The following is a 24,642-nucleotide window of genomic DNA, read 5'->3' on the forward strand; positions in this document are numbered from 1 at the left end:
TGGCTCACACCTGTAATCCTAGCACTTTGGGAGTCCGATGCAGGTGGACTGCCTGAGCTCAGGAGTTTGACCCCAGCCTGGGCAACATGGTGAAACTGTCTCTACTAAAATACAAAAATCAGCCGGGCGTGGTGGTGCATGCCTATAGTCCCAGCTATTCTGGAGGCTAAGGCATGAGCATTCCTCATGGGAACATGGGAGGCAGAGGTTGCAGTAAGCCAAGATTGTGCCATTGCACTCCAGCCTGGATGACAGAGCAAAACTCTGTCTCCCACACCTCCACACAAAAACAATCAATCACCTAGGTCAGTGCTAGGTGAACTTTCTGTGATGATGGAAAAGTTCATCGATATTATTCAGTGTGGTAACCACTAGCCACATGTGGCTCAAGAGTATTTAAAATATGCCGGTGAGACTGAGGGAATACATTTTTTATTTAATTAAATATAAATAGTCAGATATGGCTAGTAGCTACTGTATTGTACAGGGCAGATCCAGATAATTTATACTGGTCAGAGGACATACATTTACAGATACAAATCTATGGCTGCAAAAGGAAATCCACAGGAGTCACTGCCTACAGAACTGTCTTCTCCTCTTAATGAAGACAAAAGCCAGGTGTTAAAAAGAATCCATTTATTGGGTTTTAAACTAGTTACACAACTGAAATCAGTTTGGCACTACTTTATACAGGGATTACGCCTGTGTATGCCGACACTTAAATACTGTACCAGGACCACTGCTGTGCTTAGGTCTGTATTCAGTCATTCAGCATGTAGATACTAAAAATATACTGTAGTGTTCCTTTAAGGAAGACTGTACAGGGTGTGTTGCAAGATGACATTCACCAATTTGTGAATTATTTCAACCCAGAAGATACCTTTCACTCTATAAACTTGTCATAGGCAAACATGTGGTGTTAGCATTGAGAGATGCACACAAAAATGTTACATAAAAGTTCAGACATTCTAATGATAAGTGAACTGAAAAAAAAAAAACCCCACATCTCAGTTTTTGTAACAAGATAAAGAAAATAATTTAAAAACACAAAAAATGGCATTCAGTGGGTACAAAGCCCAAAATCACTATAATAAAGAACTACACGTGAATCTTTACAAATTACACAATGATGTTGTGTAAAAGGTTGCATCTGTACAATGTCTTGCCAATGCTATCTCTACAGTTTATACACTCTTTTACATTTATATAACATATTAAACAAATCAATTAAATATTAAGCCTTATTAGTCTCTCAACGATTCTGCAGGCAAAATAAAAAGGGAGAGAGAATAAAATAAATTAAAAAATTACAAAATTTCCACAAACACAGCAGTCTTCCATTTAGGTGAAGTATAATAATTTTCAGAGGGTCAAAAAATAGTTGTAAAGAATACAGGGAAAAAACAGCCAGTCAGGGTTTTTATTGTTGTTGCTGTTTATTTTTAAAATCACACATTGAATACACACAACAATCAGATTTCTTCACCAAACCCCCAATTTTTTAGCAACTGGCTCTATTCAGCACCAAAAACTCCAGTCTGTGGGAAGTGCACAGACACAGACTTCACTTCTGTGTCTTGGTCGAGCAATCCATCAGGTCATTGGTTAGGTTCAGGACTTGCCCTCTTTTCCTTCCCTCTTCATGGCTCTCCAGACCCAAGGTTCTCAAGGCTTCAGATTTATGGCCCACAGCCCCTATTACCACCTAAATCCAGCAGCCATTTGGGAAGAATTCAAAATAATTTGAGATGAATGAAATGACAGGACCTGTATTACAGATGGGTATTCTCCATTCCAAGTAAACTGTTTCTTAATGAGTTCTGAGACTCTGGTCTTGGATGCCATGATCATACTGGGTAATTATTTCTAGTCTGAGACTTTGTGACTTTGTCAGATGCCTCAAAAAAAAAAAGTGATCAGTATTCTGGAAACACTTCCGGACAAGTTGGGAAATCAAATGGCAACTGAGAAGCTGTGGAATGCAGACTAACGAGATCTAACACAGAAACCACCAAAATGATGAGAGCTCAGCAGAGGCAGTTTTAAAACTTGCAGAGAGCCACCACAGATGGTACCTGAGGGTGTGGAATTTTTGATGAAAAGAGCCTGAAGTGAGGACTAGTCATCTGTATCAGGGAGGAAAAAATTTCAATTAGGTAACAAGACATCCAACTCTAAAAGCCTAATAAATGAAATTTTTATTCTTCCTATTCCAGTAGAAAGGCTTCTGGGTACTCCCTCTTTAACAGAATGGGTGTAAGAATCCAGATCAAGTTCTCACAACTTTTAGAACCCAGAGTCCTCAGGGCCACACAAAATGTCCCAGCCCCACCCAGGAGGCAACCAAGAATAAGATGTATTTTCCTTTATCTAACTATTCCCAGGCTGACACCACTCATCTACAAAGGTCCAAAAGCAGTCACACATTTTCTCTGCTTTAAACCTAAAGCAAGGAGGCACAGCAAAATTCTCATTTCCAATGGCCGTAGCAAAAGCCATGTTTAAAAACAAACAATCCCCGCCATCCAACTTTATCTAAACACTGACATCTAAGAATGTCAGCAAAAAGAAAAAAAACAATAAATATCTAGTTCTCAGTCACCAAACCAATGTAAATTCAGAACTTTGCTGACTTACCTTTCTATGCATAATAGCATGGTGACACAAGAAGATCGGTGAGAACAAGCAGTTGGTCATCAGTGAATTGCTGTTTATGTTCCTGCCAGTTGTCATGGTGAGTCCTTCGGAAATTGGATAAGGTTTTTTTTACAGTCATCTGTAAAGTAGACAACCCACATACGTTTTAACCTCTCTGGACAACCAGGATCATATGTAGGATACTTTTAGTTAAATTACCGTCCCTCTAGACTTCAGATCTCACACAATACCAAGTTCTACAAAACCAAAAAGCCAATGAGAAGGACAAAGTGAATGGTCTTTTGAGTTACTAAAAATGCCATCATAATTTCCTATTTAATATTAGCTTCCAGTAAAATACTTTGCAGTGCTAGAAAAATAGAAACATAAAATTTATCACAACAATATTGACAGTACTTTACTTCCATTGGACTGGGAGGGATAGAAGCTACAATAATTTCCTCACTACCAAAAGATCTCAAATATCCATGGCAGCAAGGTCTCTGTAATTTTTTAATAATTACTGGTGAGCAGACTAAGCCTTGGCAGAGGCAGCAGCTTTATGAAAGCAGTTAGTTCAGAGTGTATAGGAAATTATTATTATGGTTTCTTAGAAAACATCACTGATAATACACGTACAAACTAATAAGGAAGAACTGTACCTCAATAGGCTGAGGATCATTTAGATGTGCACTGAGATTCATGAGGAGCTGGGGCATCCAGGTGGGAACATCGTAAGGACTAGAAAGAACACATGCACCAAGTCCTAGCACCCCAGCATGGCGTTTGACCAACTCTGCAAAGAGAATAGCAACATTTGTGCAAATATATATATGTCTCTAATGCACTTGTTACAGTGAGATAAAATTAGTTTTCAATTGTGTTGTTTTCAATATGTGAATTTCTGCATTTAAAATGAATCTACATGTAAACACATCAAATACTTGATTTTGAGGCTAAACTAAAAATAATTCTGTATTTAAGAATTTGTCAGCTGGGCACAGTGGCTCATACCTGTAATCCCAGCACTTTGGGAGGCCAAGGTAGGAGGATCACTTGAGGCCAGGAATTTGAGACCAGCCAGGGCAATAAAGTGAGAACCTGTCTCTCCAAAAATAATTTTTAAAAATCAGCTGGTGGCCAGGCATGGTGGTTCATGCCTATAATCCCAGCACACTGAGAGACCAGGGCGGGTGGATGACCTGAGGTCAGGAGTTCAAGAACAGCTTGGCCAACGTGGCGAAACCCTGTCTCTGCTAAAAATACAAAAATTAGCTGGGTGTGATGGCATGTGAAGTCACAGATACCCAGAAGCTGAGGCATGAGAATCATTTGACCAGGGAAGCAGAGGCTGCAGTGAGCCAAGATCGCACCACTGTACTCCAGCCTGGGATACAGAGTGAGGCTCCGTCTCAAGGAAAAAAAAAAAAAAAAAAAAGCTAGGCATGGCAGTGCATGCCTGTGGTTCCAGCTAGACAAGAGGCTGAGGCAGGAGGATCGCTTGAGCCTGGGAGGTCAAGGCTGCAGTGAGCCATATTCAAAACCACTGCACTCCAAGGAGGGCGATAGAGGAAGACCTTACCTCAAAAAAAAAAAAAAAAAAAAAGGATTTTTAAAGACTTCCATAGTTGCTTATCAATGACAGCATAATTGTACCTAGGCCAGTACAATCCCTGATTCTAAAACAATCTCCAATCAAAATTAGCGTGGTTTTTTTTTTCTGGATGTGACGCCCCTACCCAGAATACATCAATTCATTAGTAAACACATCATGTATGAAGAATGTCTATTTCTTAAAACAGAGAATTGCAGCATGTCTGTATTCTAAAGAGTCTCTATTCTTTCTGTAGTAGTGTAAGTTAGTTCTGTAGTGGTGTAAGTGGTTTCAAATTCTCAGTTCCTCAATAAAGGTGTGTGTATTCACATGTTTTAAAGCATATTACATTTGTATTTGTGACACATGGAAAATAGGGAGTTGAAGGTAAGGAAAAGAGAATTTGGACTGGTCAAAATTGTGAACAATATCATTTGGTGTAACAAAAGACCTAAAAATACTTTGGTGCTTTATCATTAAAAAAACAGAGTTCTCAGGCCAGGTGCTGTGGCTCACGTCTGTAATCCCAGTATTCTAGAAGGCCCAGGTGGGTGGATCACTTGAGGTCAGGAGTTCAAGACCAGCCTGATCAACATGGTGAAACTCTACTAAAAATACAAAAAATTAGCCAGGTGTAGTAGCGCGCGCCTGCAATCCTAGCTACTCGGCTAACAGGGGCATGAGAATCGCCTGAACCCAGGAGGTGGAGGTTGCAGGGGGCTGAGATCATGCCACTGCACTCCAGCCTGGGTGACAGTGGAAGATCCTGTTTCCAAAAAATATATATTATAAAATATATTTATAATATATATATATATGATATATATTATAAAATATATTTATAATATATATAATATATATTATAAATATATTTATAATATATATAATATATATTATAAAATATATTTATAATATATATATAATATATATACATACATATATATATCCCAAAAAGCAAAGATACTAGAATGTACATTGATATTTTATTGGATTCTGTTACTAGGTAACTTTATGACATAATTAAGACACTAATCAGCAGTAAAAGCTTTATATTTAAGCACTTCCTCTAAATTCAATAAAATTCCTACTTACTATTAATCTTTTTATGTATTTTCTATTATGATTACAGTTAACATGGCAAGATGCATCTTTGTAATCACATTTACATTTCTTTTTAAACATGACATAGTAGTCAGATCTTATTCTCGTGTTTATCTTGTGTCTATATTCAATTAGATTGGAAGCTCCTGCAATGACTCCGCACCCTCTCACCAAAGGACTAATGAAGGACCGAATAATCCCCTCTCCAAATAAAAAACAAGGCTTGCTTTAGTTTTTTCTGTTAGTACATCTACATTTAAGTTCTAAATTCCAAAACAGGTTTTTCAGACCCTCCAAAATAACTAATTCTGAATATCTCTTTTTTATGAAGCTATTCTGGGCGGAGGGTAGACTGAATACAATAGTTGTTAGGTAGCAGTTCTACAGGTTCCTTTCTATCTACCTCAATTTTAGCTTTTCTACATTCCAAGTCCTGCTTTCTATATGCAAAACTCCTCAAAAGTAGGGAAAACTTTTCCCAATACCTAGCATAGACCTGGGCACATACATACAAGTTATTCAATAAATATGAGTAAGCCTGGTTAACCCTCATTAATTCCCAATAGGATACAGGTGTTTCCTACCAGCAATGTTACCTGCAGAAGGAATGGTATCTCCTACAGAACCAGGGTCTCGCTTTCTTTTCTTAGGTAGTTTTGTTTTGCAAAGTTGCTCAAAATGAATCTGCATAGGACTGTCCATGGTAAGAAAGTTACACTGTAGCAGACCGCTTAAGGTAGTAGCAGCCATTTCTCGAACCTGTAGATATAATAATTTCTATTAGGACTGACATTCTAAGTCTGAGGGAATAATGGAGGATAGGGGGTAGTGTGGGAACTGGGGTGAAGACCTTCCCTGAAATTGCATGCAAATTTTGTGTATGCTCTTTGGCAGTTTCTTAATAGAGATTTCAGCAGATTCTCAAAGAGTTTGTGGCCTCATAATGGATAAAAACTACATTAGGGTTATGAGCATAAACTTTTATCTCTTTTAGCAAAATTAAATTTCTCCATAAATTATTTTCCCTACTGATAGCTCTCATCAGGGCTATAACTGTAAAAGCAGTGCCAGAACCTGACATTAAGATCAAGTTTTTCCAGACTCTACATCTCTGAAGGCCACTGCTATAGCTATTTTTGTTAGTAACAAAGACACAGACCAACCTAATTTCTGTAATTGGCATACATCATGGAGACTTACATCCTATGTGATTCTTATGAATTTCACAGGCTGCTGTCAGATCACAAACACAGTTTACAAAAGTACTAAATGAAGCGTGTACACAGTCCATTTCAAATTGGAATGGTAACTCAACTTTTGGGAAAACAAAAAAGCGGTAAAAAGACATTGTTTCACATATAAATCACAAACATTTGTTTAATATTCATAATACACAATGATAATTTTAAAAAACAGATGTTTTGCTCTGTTGTATTCCTTCAAAAGGTTTCTCATAATTTTATCATCGTCTGTCGAGTACGTAACATGTTCTTTGCTGCGTTCATTACACTAGCATATGAAATACATCATAAAATGTTTTACTGGTTGCACTATTTCCTATAAAGCTTATATGCCACAATTTCTTTTCTTTTCGTTTTTTTTTTTTTTTTTTGAGATGGAGTCTCGCTCTGTCACCCAGGCTGGAGTGCAGTGGCGCAGTCTCGGCTCACTGCAAGCTTTGCCTCTTGGGTTCATGCCATTCTCCTGCCTCATCCTCCCAAGTAGCTGGGACTACAGGCACCTGACACCATGGCTAATTTTTTTTTTTTTGTATTTTTAGTAGAGATGGGGTTTCACCGTGTTAGCCAGGATGGTCTTGATCTTCTGACCTCGTGATCCGCCCACGTCAGCCTCCTAAAGTGCTGCGATTACAGGCATGAGCTACCGCACCCAGCCACCAAAGTTTATTTTCATAAATACTGACTAGATTGCTTTCATATTCTCAGTACTATGCTATATTCTTAATTTGTGTAACTTTTCATATTACAGTATATATTTTCAATATACTCCATTTTTATTTTTTTATTTTTTGTAGACACAGGTCTCACTTTTTTTTTTGTTGCCCAGGCTGATCTCCAACTCGTGGGCTCAAGCAATCCTCCTGCCTTGGCCTCCCAAAGTGCTGGGATTACAGGCGTAAGCCTCTGTGCCCGGCCTGCAGTATATTTTCTTAGAATAGATTACAAAAATTGGGATTAGTAAGTTTAAAGATATAAACAATTTTACAGCTAATTTTATGGCTATTAGTTGCTTTTCAAAAAAGCTAGTGCTAACATATAATGACACAAAACTTAAATGTGAACTACCAGTTATACCTTACACTGCTTTTCATCACTACACATTTTTGTTTTGTGAAGGGAGGAAAACACTAAATTAGGAGTAGCTAAAAATGCCTCACTGTTTCAAGTTTGCATTTTCCTGGTCATTGGGAGGTGTGACTTTTCACTGCTTATAGCAAGTAATGTCTTTATCTGTATACTTTTTTTTTTTGAGATGGAGTCTCGCTCTGTCACCAGGATGGAGTGCAGTGGCACGATCTTGGCTCACTGCAAGCTCCACATCCTGGGTTGATGCCATTCTCTTGCCTCAGCCTCCCAAGTAGCTGGGACTACAGCTACAACCCGCTGCCACGCCTGGCTAATTTTTTTGTATTTTTAGTAGAGATGGGGTTTCACCATGTTAGCCAGGATGGTCTCGATCTCCTGACCTCGTGATCCGCCCACCTCGGCCTCCCAAAGTGCTGGGATTACAGGCATGAGCCACCACGCCCGGCTATCTGCATACATTATTACAATACCACCACCACTCTGAGTAGTCAGATCTGTGCATGTTTTGATGTGACGTCTATTAACTCAAAGGCTTAGAAAGTCATCTCTGCTCCTATTACGTTCCTATAAATAATATCCAAATCCACTTTCTCCTAATTTATTTTTTAAAGCCGGAGGTGGTGATTGGCAGGGCATGGTGGCTCACGCCTGTATCCTAGTACTTTGGGAGGCCCAGGCGGGTGGATCACCTGAGGTCAGGAGTTTGAGACCAGCCTGGCCAACATGGTAAAACCCCGTCTCTACTAAAAATATAAAAATTAGCTGGGCATGGTGGTAGGTGTCTGTAATCCCAGCTACTCAGGAGGCTGAAGCAGGAGAATCGCTTCAACCCAGGGGGCAGAGGTTGCAGTGAGCCGAGATCGCACCACTGCACTCCCGCCTGGGCAAAAAGAGTGAAACTCCCTCTCCAAAAAAAGGGGGGGCGGGGATGGTAAATCTCTTTATCAAAAATATACTGTAATATGAGATGTTTTAATTTATTTTTCTCTTACTTCAAATTGCTAACAAATGATCCCCAACACCTCCAACTGATTTATGCTCTTTTCCAGTGACAGGGTCTACTTCTGAGATATTTTACTCCAGGGTACATGTCTATAATTAACTAACTTTAAAAAGTGAGGAAAGAATATATTTAGCCTTCTCAGCTAAAAACATACTATTTTCCTCTATTTCTAAGAAGTTTCCTTTAAATACAGTAAGGTTTCTTTAAACAGTTCTCATTTAGATAACATTGTTTTTCCCCATACTATCAACGAACAGAATTTAGCGAATTATTACTGCTTTTTGGTTTTACATGTTGCTTTAAAAATATGATAGTTTTAATGATCATGGTTATGTTTATATAACAGCTATGTTTAAACCTCTATATGGAAGAAAATATAAAAATAATTTATAAGGCCAAGGCGGGTAGATTGCTTGGGCCCAGGAGTTTGAGACCAGCCTGGGCAGTATGGCAAAACCTTGCCTCTACAAAATCACAAAAAAAGTAATTCCGTGTGGTGGCAAATACCCATAGTCCCAGCTACTCAGGAGGCTGAGGTGGGAGGATCACTTGAGCTCAGGAGGCAGAGGCTGCAGTGAGCCATAATTGTGCCACTGCACTACAGCCTGGACAACAAAGCAAGACTTGGTCTCAAAAAAAAAAAAAAAAAAAAAAAAAAAGAGAAACCATAAAAATGTTCTAAAAGAAGCTCCTAAATGCAAGCGGTATAATAATTAAAGTTAGGAAACAATGACAAGGTCATTGTTTCCACTCCTTTAGGTTAGTTTTTAAAGAATAATAAGAAATTAAAAAAAAAAAATCACAGCTGTAAATATTTTAATTGAAGTCTGTTAAGAGTTGTTATAACCAGGCCAGGCGTGGTGGCTCACGACTGTAATCCCAGCACTTTGGGAAGCTGAGACAGGCAGATCACGAGGTCAGGAGATCGAGACCATCCTGGCTAACATGGTGAAACCCCGTCTCTACTAAAAATACAAAAAATTAGCCAGGCATGGTGGCGGGCGCCTGTGGTCCCAGCTACTTGGGATGGCTGAGGCAGGAGAATGGCGTGAACCCAGGAGGCGGAGCTTGCAGTGAGCTGAGAGCGTGCCACTGCACTCCAGCCTGGGTAACAGCGAGACTCCGTCTCAAAAAAAAAGAAAAAAAAAAACAGTTGTTATAACCAGTCTGTGAGTACCACCGGGACTAGAAAATATCCACTCTCAGAATATAAGAAATATAAATAGACTCATTAGGGAGGTAGAGAAATTTCCATTCCTACTTTCCTGTGAGTAAAATCTATTTTCAATACCAATAAGTATATAAAATACTGTGAGTACTTTACTACAAGACAAAACTATGAAGTCCATAAAATAAGCAAAATTTTCACCAAAAATTCCATTACATTTTCTTCCTTAATGCCAACTTAAAAAGTAGTATCTCATGCCATATTTACTGCCAACATGCTCTTACATTTGGCTGTATGGGATAATACATTATCTTTTTGTACAAACCATTAATGTAACCTCACCACAAAAGTTACCTTTTTCTACCAAAGAAAAACAAAAAAAGGACAGCAAACCTGTATTAAGTCTACTGGATAGCAGCGCCTATGTGTAGATTTTTAATCCCTTTGAAACTGCCATCATGCACATTCTCATGAGTTCCTTAAAAATCAGTAGGACTAGTGGGACAATTACAATTATCATCCCCAATTTCTCATGGTTAAGAAAACTTGGGTTCAGGAGTATTATTTGCCCAACTGCAAAGAAGACAGAACGAAAACATGCCCAATTTTTCTTCCATTTGTATTATAAGGAATCATGATTAGGGTATCAAAATTACTCACATAGGGCTATGTTAAAATTAAAGTTATTTTTATTTAATTTTTTTGAGACAGGGTCTCACTCTGCTGCTCAGGATGAATGCAGTGGTACAATCACAGCTCACTGCAGGCTCAACCTCCAGGCTTAAGCGATCCTCCGACCTCGACCTCCTGAATAGCTGGGATCACAGGTGCACACCATCATGTCCAGCTAATTTTGGTACTTTTTGTAGAGACAGTCTTGCTACGTTGTCCAGGCTGGTCTCAAACTCCTGGCATCAAGTGATCTCACTGACTTCGTCTCTCAAAGAGTTGAGGTTATAAATATAAACAATTGCACCTGGCCGCAAATACTTATTAAAAAGGGAACCATGATGGTTTCTTTAAATTGACTGAATTTCCGTTTTCTATAACTTAAATTTTACCTCCAGTTGTTCGTCCTCCAAAAGACTTATAACCAGCCACCTGATATCTTTAACTGCATCTTCATTGTTTAGGAAAATAAAGAGGTTATAAAATACCATGGTCTGGAGGTAGGTCAGTACTGTGTATCGTGCATGCCAAGAACTGCTTCTTGCTGTCTGTGAATGACAAATAAATATAAACGATAAAGCAGTACTGACAAGAACATGAGATGACAGATAGTGACATTACACACAAACAATGTAATATTCTAATTTAACTCTATTTACACAGGTATAGTTAGGACAAGCTCATATTTCGTTATAAATAAAAGGTTGAATGAGGCTGGGCACAGTGGCTCACGCCTGTAATCTCAGTACTTTGGGAGGATGAGTGAGGTGGGTGGATCACCTGAGGTCAGGAGTTTGAGATCAGCCTGGCCAACATGGTGAAACCCTGTCTCCACTACAAATACTAAAATTAGCTGGGTGTGGTGGCAGGCACCTGTAATCCCAGCTACTTGGGAAGCTGAGACAAGAGAATCGCATGAACCTGGGGGGCGGAGGTTGCAGTGAGCAGAATGGGGCCACTGCACTCCAGCCTGGGCAGCAGAGCGAACTCTGTCTCAAAAACAATAACAAAAAAACCCACACAAAGGTAAAAGTCAATTTCACAAGAGACAGTCATGATTAATGGCTCCTAACTCCTCTGAGGATGGCACATTATTTTACTTTTGGTAGCAACAGCAGGGTCTGGAAAGCAAATGATTAACAACTACTAAATTCTACTACAAAGAAATACAATTGTAGGTTGTTGAAAATATTTTCCAGTGTGGTTATCAAATTTAAAATGAAAGCTATGGGAAGACGTCCACTTCTATATAACATGTGTAATGTCTGGATAAAGCTGACCATACAGTATACCAACAATGCAGGCAGAAAATGTACAGTCAGTATAGGTCTCTCTAGAAAAGACCAGGTAACAGAAGTGAGCAAAACAAAGGGGAACTGGTGGTAGAAAGGAACCACCATCCACCTTCCTCATAAGCACTTTTTATCCAAAGCACTTAATAATGAATTAGCTATCTGCATATTTTTGGCTTGACTGACTTGCCCAAAGTCACAGAAGGCAGGGGCAGAGCCAGGCACAGAATCTAGGTCTGTTTCTTTGGTCAATATATATGTCTTCTCTTATACTAAAAGAAAATTCAAAACAAAAACTAGGCGCTGTGTGCACTGCAGCTGACTGAAATTCTTAGAATGGTAAACCAAAATCCTAATCAAAAGACATAAATATTATAAACACTCTTACTTGTTTTAGCACCTGAAGTACCAAAGGCACTTGATGAGGGTAAAGCAACCCCTGAGACATTAATGATAAACATAACTTTGCATCTCTTTTCAGTTCATCGTAGCTATTGTCATTTTCCACTGGGGCAATCTAAAAAACAATGTAAAAAGGACAAAAATGGAAAAATAATTGCCAATAAGTACAAAGGCATCCTACATGAGAGACAACACATCTTTAATTTAACAATTTTTATGGAAAATTTCAAACACATAAACTAGAGAATAGCATAATGAACCCCCATGAGCCAATCACCTCTTCAATAATGACAAACTCATAATCTTTTGTTTCATTTTTCCTCCCCTCTGACTCTCATTCCCCAATGAAATTATTTGAAGCAAATCCCTGACTGTTTCATCCTAAATATTTTATTATGTTATTTCTAAAAGGTCCCTTAAAAAAGAATCATGTAATGGACATCATCACACATAAAACTTCGTTACAGTTATAATATAAAATATGTGGCGGTACTCAGATTTCCCCAAGTACCACATTCATGTGTTATTACAACTGGTTTTTTGAAATCAGGTTTAAGGTAATGACCACATATTGTACTTACTTGGTATGTTTCATAAATCTCTTTCAATGCATATATTCCCCCCCGCAACTATCTTAAAATCCCTTGCTCTGTATTTTTTTTCCTCAGGGAAAAAAAGCTGTGTCTGTTGTTTTATAGTTTCCCCACTGTGGCCTTTGCTGATTGCATCCCTGCAGTGGTATTCCTTGGCCCCAGTAAGTCTTATAAATTGGCTATTAGATGTAAAGGTCTGACTTTATTGAAGTTTCACTTTTTTGGGCACAACATAAGTGGTGCTGTGTATTTCTTTCATTGATATTTAGCTTTGTCTTTCTGTGATAATCCATTATAAAAAGAGAGATTTGCGAAATGGTCATTCCTTCTTCATTATTAGCTAGAATACTTATATATATATATATAAGCTTTCCCTCATTTGGAATAATGATTTCCCTTCTGTCCTCCAAAAGTAGATAAGAATTTTTAAAAGACTATCATTATGAATTCCAACAAATCTGATGGCTGTAGCCACTGTCATTCTTTTTTTTTTTTTTTTTTTTGAGACAGGGTCTTGCGCTGTAGCCCAGGCTGGAGTGTAGTGGCACAACCATGGCTCACTGTAGCCTCAACTTTCTGGGGTCGGTGATCCTCCCACCTCAGCCTTCTGAGTAGCTGGGACCACAGGCACGCACCACCGTGTCCAGCTATTTTTTTTTTTAAATGTATGGTAGAGACAGAATCTCACTGTGTTGCCCAGATTGGTCTCAAACTCCTGGGCTTGAGCAATCTTCCTGCGCTGGCCTCCCAAAGTGCTGAGATTACAGGCATGGGCCAGTGTACCCAGTATCCGTATTTGTTTTAATGAAGAAATCAGGTTTGTCTGGTACCATACTTTGACTATGAATGTATGCTGTCTGATGCCTTAAATACGTTTTAAATATTTAAAAAATATACCCTTGCACATTCAGTAGGGGAAAGCTTTAATAAAGTTTGCTAAGGGACTCCGGGGTGCTAAGTTGGAGGGATTCTCATGAGGCTGGCATGGATAACAGAGCAAGATCCTGCCTCTACAAAAAAAAAAAAAAAAAAAAAAATTAGCTGGGCTTGGTGCCACATGCCTATAGTCCTTGGGAGGCTGAGGTGGGAAGATTGCTTGAGCCCAGGAGTTCAAGGTTACAGTGAGCTATGATCACAGCACTGCACTCTAGCCAGGGTGACAGAGTGATACCCTGTCTCTTAAAAAAAAAATAAAGTTTGCTAAGGGAAATTATTTCTATCAAATACTGGACAAACTATCATAGTGAATTAATACACTCAGCTTGAAACTGTTGTTAAAAAAAATTATTCTGACATTTGATAAATTATTAAGGAAAAGTTTATTCAGCGACATCAGGGGTAGGAGGTTTCCTCCTAAACCTACTTAACGGGATTCCTGCAAAAGGTAGAATAGGGTGATCAGATACCAAGGGTGGGGGATTCTTTCTAAACTAGATTAGAGACAGTCTTGCTAAAACTGGACCAAAGACAGACAGGCCAAAGACAGAGCCCAAGGTTGAGATCTAGTCAGAAAGATGGCTCAGAGGAGCTGACTTAAGTTTGGTCAAGGAGAGCCTTTGTCATAACAAAGGCATGATTCAGTTCTTTTTTTGTTATGGGTATGCAAAGACATTTCATAATGCTGAGCTTTAAATATTTTACCTCAGTTAATATAATCCTTGGTATTTTAGAATAAAAATTATTTCTTTTTGCAAATTAAAACCATACTGAGTTATATGTTTCCACCTGTTCTACTGGGAAAAATCGGGATGTTTAATATCATACTGTAAAAGTGAGTCTCTGAGGAAATAACCAATAAAGAGGGGTGTGTAGGAGTGTCTAGCAAAAGCACATATTCATTTACTTTCTACTGGCTGTTGCAGGAAGTCAGGGACCCCAAACGGAGGGACCGGCTGAAGCCATGGCAGAAGAACATAAATTGTGAAGATTTCATGGACATTTATTAGTTCCCCAAATTAATACTTTTATAATTTATTATGCCTGTCTTTACTGCAATCTCTGAACATAAATTGTGAAGACTTCATGCACACTTATCACTTCCCCAATCAATACTCTTGTGATTTCCTATGCCTGTCTTTACTTTAATCTCTTAATCCCATCATCTTCATAAGCTGAGGATGAATGTCGCCTCAGGACCCTGTGATAATTGTGTTAATTGCACAAATTGTTTAAACAATATGAAATCTGGGCACCTTGAAAAAAGAACAGGATAACAGCAATGTTCAGACAACAAAGGAGATGACCTTAAACTCTGGCTGCCTGTGAGCCTGGTGGAACAGAGCCATATTTCTCTTCTTTCAAAAGCAAATAGGAGAAATATCGCTGAATTCTTTTTCTCAGCAAGTAACATCCCTGAGAAAGAGAATGTGTCCCTAAGGGGAGGCCTCTGAAATGGCCACTTTGGGGACGGCTGTCTTTTACAGTCATAGCTAAGGGAGGAAATAAGCCCCGGTCTCCCGTAGTGCTCCCAGGCTTATTAGGATGAGGAAATTCCTGCCTAATAAATTTTGGTCAGACCAGTGGTCTGCTCTAAAACCCCATCTCCTGATAAGATGTTATCAATGACAATGTGTGCCCGAAACTTAATTAGCAATTTTAATTTTGCCCAGGTCCTATGGTTCTGTGATCTCGCCCTGCCTCCATTTCCTTTGTGATATTTTATTACCTTGGGAAGTACGCGATCTCTGTGACCCACACCCTATTCATATACTGCCTCCCCTTTTGAAAATCACTAATAAAAACTTGCTGGTTTTACGGCTCAGGGGCATCAAGGAACCTGCTGACATGGGATGTCTCCCCCGGACACCCAGCTTTAAAATTCCTCTCTTTTGTACTCTGTCCCTTTATTTCTCAGACCGGCCGACACTTAGGGAAAATAGAAAAGAACCTATGTGAAATATTGGGGGTGAATTTCCCCCAATACTGGCAATGTATGTCTACCCTCCTACCTCAAAGATATACTGGCAAACATATGAAATGTCTACACAAAGATCTACATTGTAGCACTATTTCAAAAGCACAACATTGGAAATAATTCAAATATCTATTGGATCTAGAGAGTGTCTGGTTAAATAAACTGTAGTACATCCTTGTAGTTTAGATATCCTATCGTATGAATCATTCCTATTGTTATAAAGTAATCCCTTAAAAGTCTCTTCAGAAAAAAAGCAAAAGCAAAATGAAATAAGTGAAACTCACTGTTTATCTGGCTGGCAGGAAACATACTTAGAGCAGTGACTTTTAAAAGCAGGGTAATATAATGCTTTGTGGGATGTATAAAAATCAAATTTAGAGTAACTGTCAACAGGAACCAAGAGTTTTCACATGAGAGGTAAAAGATATAAAAATACAAGTGGTTAAATAAAATCTTAGTAATCCCAAATTTGAATTGAAAATGCCAGTACGAGCTATTTCTCTTAGAAAATGTGCTGTGTCTACCAAATAAGCCCAGAAACACTAATCAACTCAGTAACAATGAATACCCCTTGAGCCCGGGAGACTGAGACTGCAGTGAGCTATGATCGTGCTACTGCACTCCAGCCTGGGTGACAGAGCAAGACCCTGTCTCAAAAAAAAAAAAAAAAAAAGGAAAAGGAAATAACATTGAACATTAATTATTGAACATCAACTGGTGCGATGTCAGAACACATTATTTTTTATCCCTGGCATGTGACCAAAATTACTTTATGAATTTAATTCAATTCCAGTAGGAATTGTGTTTTAAAAGGTTAAAAAAATTACAGAAGTATAAACTTGACAAGGAGATTCAAAACCCTGCCTTGGTGTGGAGGAAGAATATGGTGGAAGTAATTTAACCACATCTCCAAAATGGCAGGACATCCATAGCAAAGTAACTTAAGTTGGAAAATAAAAAATGAGCAGTATAAGGGTATTTCTTTAGAGACAAAGAGGTGTGCAAAAGCTTAAAAGTGGTAAACTTGGGCTGGGCAGAGTGGCTTATGCCCATCATCCTAGCACTTTGGAGGCCAAGGTACGAGGAGCACTTGAAGCCAGGAGTTTGAGAGCAGCCTGGGCCACTACAAGTGAGACCCCATCTCTACAAAAAATAAAATTAGCTGGAGTGGTGGTGCTGGCACACGAAGGTACTTCCAGCTACACAAGAGACTGAGGTGGGAGGATTGCTTGAGCCCAGGAGTTTGAGGCCATCCTGGACAACATAGCAAGATATCATCTCTTAAAAAAAAATGCAGATACATCTCTTTTGCCCAGCAATTTCACACCTAGGCAGTATCCTACAAATATGCTCACATGTGCAAGATACTTAAGAAGAGCCAGAGGTTCCATCAACAGAAAACTGGTTAAATTTTTAAACGATGGTACAATTTAGTCATAAAAAGAGGCAATTTTGTGTAATGATATGAAAAGATGGACATGATATACTGAGTTAAAAACCAAAATCACCTTGCAGAATTAAGTAATTGTTATTCATAAAACAATTTCAGAAACACTTTCGTAGGGTAAAGCAGAGACACATTCATAGTCAAAGGCATAAAAGGACATACACCAACAAAGTCAGGGTACAAATGGTAAATACTCAACAGTTCAAATCTCTAGGCATTACACGTGGAGTTGTTTTCCTGGTCATTTTATTCACACTCACAGTAAATATGAGGTGATTTAGAGTTTGGGTAGTTAACTGTGGTATAAAAAAGAAGATATTCATTTACTGGCAAGGTCTATTACCACCAGAATTTAAGATGACTCACTTCATCTGTTGAATCAGCCGTCTCTCTTCCTACCATTACGAAAAAAATGTGTCTTTCTAATGAAATTAAGACACAATACTCTCAAGTACAGCATGGGTGAAAATGTTCTACTAAAAACAGTAAAATTCTAAAATCCAATAGATAAATTTCACCAGATAGATTATATACTAAACTATGTTAACCAGTAGAAAATGCTGTTCATTTAGTTAGCAAAGGAATCACCTTATAAGATATTTTTCTCCTGATTATTGAAAAAAATAGTTTTTCTAAAGAAATACCAACAATGCGAGGTGACTGTATCCAATGTACCACAATATCTGTACATTCTTCTCTAAGTTTTACATATGCGAAACTATAGTTGTGGATTTTGATGAGCATTTTCTGAAGTTTGAAACTTAGGATAAAATACCTCTCTGACCACCACCATTTGAGCCCTTAATTGTTCCAAATTAAAATACAGTTAAAGATTAGTAAAATAATAAGTATGTACTTTACCACTGTGCTTTCTGCTTTACAGGTATGTCATTTCATCCTTCTAACAGTTCTGTGAGGGACACTGATATTAAACTCACACTCTTTATATAGGAGACAAGTTCAGAAGCTTGTGCAAGGTCACAAAGAAAGCACCTGTCACAGGCAGAATTTTTTTTTTTTTTTGAACTGTCTCCCAGCTGGAGCACAGTGGCGAGATCTGGCTTACTGCAGCCTCCGCCTCCAGGGTTCAAGTGATTCTCCTGTCTCAGACCCCTGGGTAGCTGGGACTACAGTATCTGCCACCACACCTGGCTAATTTTTGTATTTTTAGTAGAGATGGGGTTTCACCATGTGGTTCAGGCTGGTCTCAAACTCCCGATCTCAAGTGATCTGCCCGCCTCGGTCTCCCAAAGTGCTGGGATTACAGGCGTGAGCCACTGTGCCCAACCTAAAGGCAGGATTTTAAACTAGGACTCTATTTACCCGAAAGCCAGGACTTTGTAAGCTATTCTTGGTTGGAAAACCTCTTCCTTTAATCTTAAGAATATGAAGACTCTTAGACCAGAATAGGCAAGTTTATATATAGATATATATAAATATAATTTTAATACATATATATTTCAGGATTTTTTATGGATATAAAACTGCTTTTTATGGGATAGGATAAATAAGATTTTTAACAGAACAGCCAATGTACCATATGTTTCTTACAACAATGTGTTAGCTGAAGTAGATCCAGCATTTTCACTTCTGGTGATTTATTCTATAAAAAATATGTGCAAAGTGCAAAAGATATGTATAAGATGTTCACTGTATCATTAATGAAGAGGAACATGTCTACAGTGTTTACCATGTGCCTGATGCTGCTTTAAGCACTTCCCATATGAAAATACCCCTTATTCTCTCAATTTAGGATGCAATATCTTTTAATTTAAACTCTTGCTATTTGCTAATGGCAACTCAGGAAATGGAAAATGCACATAATTCCTTGTTATCAGACTCAGCCACCCACTCCTCAATTTGGACAATGAGGGACACGTATTAACTCGTATAATCCTCGTAACATCCTTAGGAGATGGGTGGTATCATTATCCCCATTTTACTGATGAGAGGGATAAAGTTCAGAGGGGTTGAATTAGATGCCCATGATTACCTAATTAGTTCATGGGCCATGGAGATGAATTTGATCCAGGCAGCCTGGCTCAAAACTTCACGCTGTTAATGACTCCACTCACTGCCTCTTGTTGTCTATCTGGTGAACAACTGTCATAAAACCAAACATCTACTACTAGAGAGCACAGGATATTAAATTCTAAAAGCCACATAAGGAATAACAAGTATCTACTTACTGACATGGAAACGTACATACAATATATTGATTGGGTTCATAAAAGGGAAGCTGCAGAGCTACTGGCCTGACTCTACTGACAAACAACTGTGTAGGAAAATAACATTTGAGGAAATACAAAAAAAAATAAATAAATAAGATAAATATAAATAAAACTATGAACAGTGGCTGTTATCATACACAATTAGTCTTGTCAGTCTATCTTATACTTTTATGAATATGTGCTGCTTTTATAAACTCACAATAATTTTAAGAAAAAAAGATACATATAAGAAAGGTTAATGGTAATGGTAGTTTATGAATATTTCCTTCCAACTTTCTCAGTTTTCTCTCAAAAGGCATTTATTTCTTTTAAAAAGGAGAGAAATTAAACTTACACTGTTACTGAAATTTTCCACAAACTTCAAAGTTTTTTTTATTAACTATTTTTTATTAAATTAGGAATGGGAGACCAAAAATAGTAGCTCACACCTGTAATCCTAGCACTTTGGAAGGCTACGGTGGGAGGACCATTGGAGACCAATCTAGACAACATGAGACCCCATCTCTACAAAAATTTTTGAGAAAATTAGCCAGGCATGGTGATGCATGCCCGTAGTCCCAGCTACTCAGGGGGCTGAGGCAGGAGGACTGCTTGTGCCCAGGAGATTGACGCTGCAGTGAGCCATGACTGCACCACTGCAGTGAGACTGTCTCAGAAAAAAGCGGTGGGGGGGTGCGGGGTCCATGTGATAAGCTGCCATTCGCTGGTCTCTCCTCTGATATGAATGTTGTTGACCATCCACAATAAAGAAAGGTAATGTGGGTTTTAAACTTTGGACAGTTGAAAATAATCTAGTCCTCTTAAATGGTTCTAATTTAGTTCATATAAAGTAAGTTACGAGGCATATGCTAACTGAATCATCTCTATTTGTTGTGTTCTCATCACCCTAACCTGTGAATGTTGGCTCAATTCTTATACTTCTTTTTTTTTTTTCCATCTACACCCATTCCCTTGATGATCTCATTCAATATCATGGTTTTAAGTATCATCTCTGTTGATGACATTTAAGTTTGTACCACTATTCCACTGAACTCTGCTGCACTATTCCACTGAACTCTGAATGTTTATCCATTATCTTCACTTATAAAAGCATCTTCACTTATAAGTCTTATAAGCATCTGAAATATGTTGGAAAGGGAATTTCTGACCGCCTCTTCTACTCCTTCTGTGCTCCTCTCATGGTTTAGTAAACACGTTTCTTTTAAACGCCTCTCTTTATCCTCACACTCTACACATCTGATTTATGTGCAAAATAACTATGACATGATGCCTTTGTACCTCTGGCCCCATTCAGCATGATGGTCTAGTATTAGTATATCGTCAATATTAGTATATCCAGGTGAGATGTTAGGCTTGTCAATGGTAACTTATATCGTACAGCTTTCTTTTCTTTTCTTTTTTTTCGAGATGGAGTCTTGCTCTGTTGCCAGGCTGGAATGCAGTAGCACGATCTCAGCTCACTATAACCTCCACCTCCCGGGTTCAAGCGATTCTCCTGCCTCAGCCTCCCGAGTAGCTGGGACTACAGGCGTGCGCCACCATGCCCAGCTAATTTTTGTATTTTTAGTAGAGATGGGGTTTCACCATGTTGGCCAGGATGGTCTCGATCTCTTGACCTTGTGATCCACCCGCCTCGGCCTCCCAAAGTGCTGGCATTACAGGTGTGAACCACCACACCGGGCCTCTATCGTACAGGTTTCTAATGATATAAGTTTTTTCATAAACTTCAAGTGGATTCAAATCATCCTTCTACCAACCTCTTACATACTTGCCTGTATTTGTTCTGAATGAAAGAAATGGGATGGAACCCCAGCTATCCTAACAATCATTGCACATTATGAATTTATGAATGTTCTATATCCGCTTGGTATGTGACAGAGGAAAAACATTTAAGTACTAGGCAGACAAAGCCTACATACACCAAAGACCTATAGGTAAGAAGGACCTATATACTAGCAGCTACTGTCTACTTTTATACCCCAAAAGATCCCAGGGACATTCATGGGTATCATCCTTTGCATAGCATTCTTAAAAGTATTTTAGTAGTACAATCTTTGAAAGTTACTGGTACAGTTAACTGTGAAATTTCCTAACGACAAAATATACTATAGCAAATCAAAAGTTTAGCATGCCATTTGTTAACAATAATAAGGGCCCTCCTCCTTAGATAATAATAACTGTACTGATGAATAATGTCAAAAAGTGGTGATGTTTATGCCAAGCCTTTCAAATGCACAATTAACACTGTTTTCCTAACCACAGCCAACCATATCATTATTGCAAACTATGATTTTGGAAACTAATGAGTCAACCTGTGACCTTAGTTCCACTAGCTGCATCCCCTGAGTAGATGATTAGATAAAACCACCTCAAGCCATGCCTTTCATTAACAAAATGTCATTATATCATACCAGAGGCAAATGATTTCCTGCAGATATTTGTTAGAAACAGTTATAGGGTCCTTTAACATTGTAAAACAAACACAATATACTGAACATTTTCGTTTGTAGATTATATTAGTAAAGAAGTCAGAAATGGCTAGATTAAAAAATTTCTTTGTAGCTTTTCTTTTAACTGTCAATAATTCCTCTAATCTGCTATTACTCAGAAATTAGCTACCAGGTAAAACAATATTCCGTTAAATTTTCATGTAGCTGTCAAAATCCTGCTATCACCTAATACTAAAACACGATTTCAACAAATATTAAACCACTATCACCTAATGATTTTCCTGTGACCATTCTACTTTTCAGAGATCCAATCAAAATTCACACTGTCTGAAGAACTTCAACCATCAGATGATGAACACAAATTCCTTATGAAGGTCAAAAGGAGATGCATTCTTAATTTCAGCAAAACCTTACCTTGAAAAACAAAGGTAGAAGCTGAAGTTGTTCTGTAACTGCTGTAGAAAAGGATCTTCCTGCACTTGCCATCAGCCATTTCAATACTATTTTGAAAACAAAGATGCAGAGTAAGTCTTTGCCATTCATTTACAGACCACAAAGTAGAACAATATTGTAATGTTATTGTCATACAGCCACTCTGACAGCTCTTCGGTGCTATGAAAGATATCATCTATGTTACTTCATAAATTAGACACTTATTAAGAAGCAGTATAACAGCACCCAAAATAAAATTTAAAACTTTTGTGCATAAAAAGACATTATCCAGAGAGTAGAAAGACAACCCACAGAATAGGAGAAAATATTTCTAAATTGTGTATCTGATAAGGGATTGATATTAGAATAAATAAAGAACTAAAACTCAAAAACAACAAAACAATCTAATTCAGAAATGGGCTGGGTAAAGTGGCTCATGCCTGTAATTCTAGCACTTTTGGAGGCCAAGGCGGGAGGATCCCTTGAGCTCAGGAGTTCAAGACCAGTCTGGGCAACATATGGAGACCCCTGTCTCTAGAAAATATTTAAAAATTAGCTGGGTGTGGTGTTGCACACCTGTAGTCCCAGCTACTCAGGAGGCTGAGGTGGGAGGATCTCTTGAGCCCCGGAGATTGAGGCTGCAGTAAGCAGCCTGGACGACAGAGTGAAAGGCAGCAGAGGGCTGGGTAATGAATGACATGAGTAGATATTTCTCCAAACAAGAAATACGAATGGCTAATAAAGATTCTTGAAATATCAGTAATCATTAGGGAAATGCAAACCAAAATCACAAGATACCTCTTCATACCCACTAAGATGGCTATACTTTAAAAAAGCAAGCAAACAAACAAAACAGGTGGCGAGAACACGGAACCCTTGTGCATTTGCTGACTGGAATGTAAAATGGTGCAGCTGCTGCAGAGAAGAGTCTGGCAGCTCTTCAAAAACTTAAGCACAGAAATACTACATGGTCTAACAATTCCACTTCTAGGTACATACCCTAAAGAACTGAAAGCAGGAACTCAAACAGGTACTTATACAAACATCAATGTTCAGAGCAGCATTAGTCACAATAGCCAAAGGTGGAAACCCAAATATCCAGCAAACAGATGAATGGGTAACAGATTAAGGACACAACATGATTCAGAAATTCATTCATTCAACTTGAAAATACTATGTAACATGAAATAAGCCAGACACAAAAAAGACTTATGATTCAACTTATGTGACCTACCTAGAATGGGCAAATTCAGAGATGGAAAGTAGACAGTGGTTATAAAGGATGAGGGGAGGGAAAATGAGGAGCTGTTGTTAAAGGGTACAAAGTTTCAGTTTCGTATGATGAAGAGGATTCTAGAGATAAATGGTGATGATGGTTGCGCAAGGATGTGAATGTACTTAATGCCACTGAACTGTACACTTAAAAATGGTTAAAACAGTAAATTTTTCATTATGTCTATTTTACCACAATAAAAAAAGTGGTGCAAAAAACTCTACAGGATAATCAAATAGATGTTTTCAACTGAGTTTCTACTAATTTTATCCACTCACTGGTTTTCAAGAGTTTAATGCCCTGAGTTCGCTCATCTTCTTCACCAATTCCATTTTCTTCCATAACATGGTTCTGAATTTCTTCATCCACATCCATGAGAGGTTTCAATTTCTCCAGAATTCGAGCAGTAAACTCAGGGACATGAGGCGATATGGTTGGTGTGGTATTTGGCAAAGATACATCTATCATGAATATGTAGGTCAGCACACTGCAAAATAAAATACTTAATAATAGGAAGAGGTGCCACATTATAAATAAAAATGAGGTTCAAAAGTTATGACCCAATCAAAGTAAACTGTCCCAAGACAATTCCTGGAGTGGGTCTTAGATTATGCCTGTGTGTAAAAGAAGCCTTATAATTAAGGGGTATTAACACTTAGGTGTTGTGACTGCTCATCTCTGGCTTCTGAGCACACTGCTGTCCTAGTTTACATTCAGAGTGTTTCATCTTGTTTCCCACGACACAATAGCAAACAATTTGAGAAAGACACCATGAAACCCACTGACAACATAACCAGCATGTATTATTACCTATTACAATTTAAAAAAAAACAAACAAAGAACTCGAGAGGTACACCACAGAGAAAACAGTACCTACCTTCCTATTCTTTCTCTGACATTTTTGTAAACCTGGGTGAGTTTGGGTTCCAAGTACTTCAGTAGTCTGTGCAATAGTTCAGGCACTCTCCATTCTTGCTGGGCAAGGCCACCTTGTAGTACATAAAGTCGACTAAAATTAAAGCATCGTAGTGTTATATTGGAGGCCCTTTCTGCCTTTACATATTGACAGTATGGACAGACAATATCTGTATTTCACTTAAAGCTTTTTC

General features: G+C 38.3%; 1 protein-coding gene across 1 annotated transcript in view; it reads right to left on the reverse strand.

Annotated features, from left to right (window-relative positions):
* Window positions 1-621: 621 nt before the first annotated feature.
* The window catches only part of PSME4 (proteasome activator subunit 4), a 106,925-nt gene continuing 82,904 nt past the window's right edge, over window positions 622-24,642 (reverse strand). Inside the window, exons 39-47 of the mRNA NM_014614.3 lie at window positions 24,411-24,542; window positions 23,812-24,020; window positions 22,243-22,328; window positions 12,180-12,308; window positions 10,892-11,047; window positions 5,929-6,091; window positions 3,300-3,433; window positions 2,638-2,776; window positions 622-2,126 (exon numbers count right to left, since the gene is read on the reverse strand). Coding sequence (NP_055429.2) covers window positions 2,642-2,776; window positions 3,300-3,433; window positions 5,929-6,091; window positions 10,892-11,047; window positions 12,180-12,308; window positions 22,243-22,328; window positions 23,812-24,020; window positions 24,411-24,542 — 1,144 coding nt within the window. The 3' untranslated portion in view covers window positions 622-2,126; window positions 2,638-2,641. The remainder of the gene's footprint in view (window positions 2,127-2,637; window positions 2,777-3,299; window positions 3,434-5,928; window positions 6,092-10,891; window positions 11,048-12,179; window positions 12,309-22,242; window positions 22,329-23,811; window positions 24,021-24,410; window positions 24,543-24,642) is intronic.

Source organism: Homo sapiens, chromosome 2, assembly GCF_000001405.40.
Source record: "Homo sapiens chromosome 2, GRCh38.p14 Primary Assembly".
In the NCBI taxonomy this organism is placed as follows: Eukaryota; Metazoa; Chordata; class Mammalia; order Primates; family Hominidae; genus Homo; species Homo sapiens.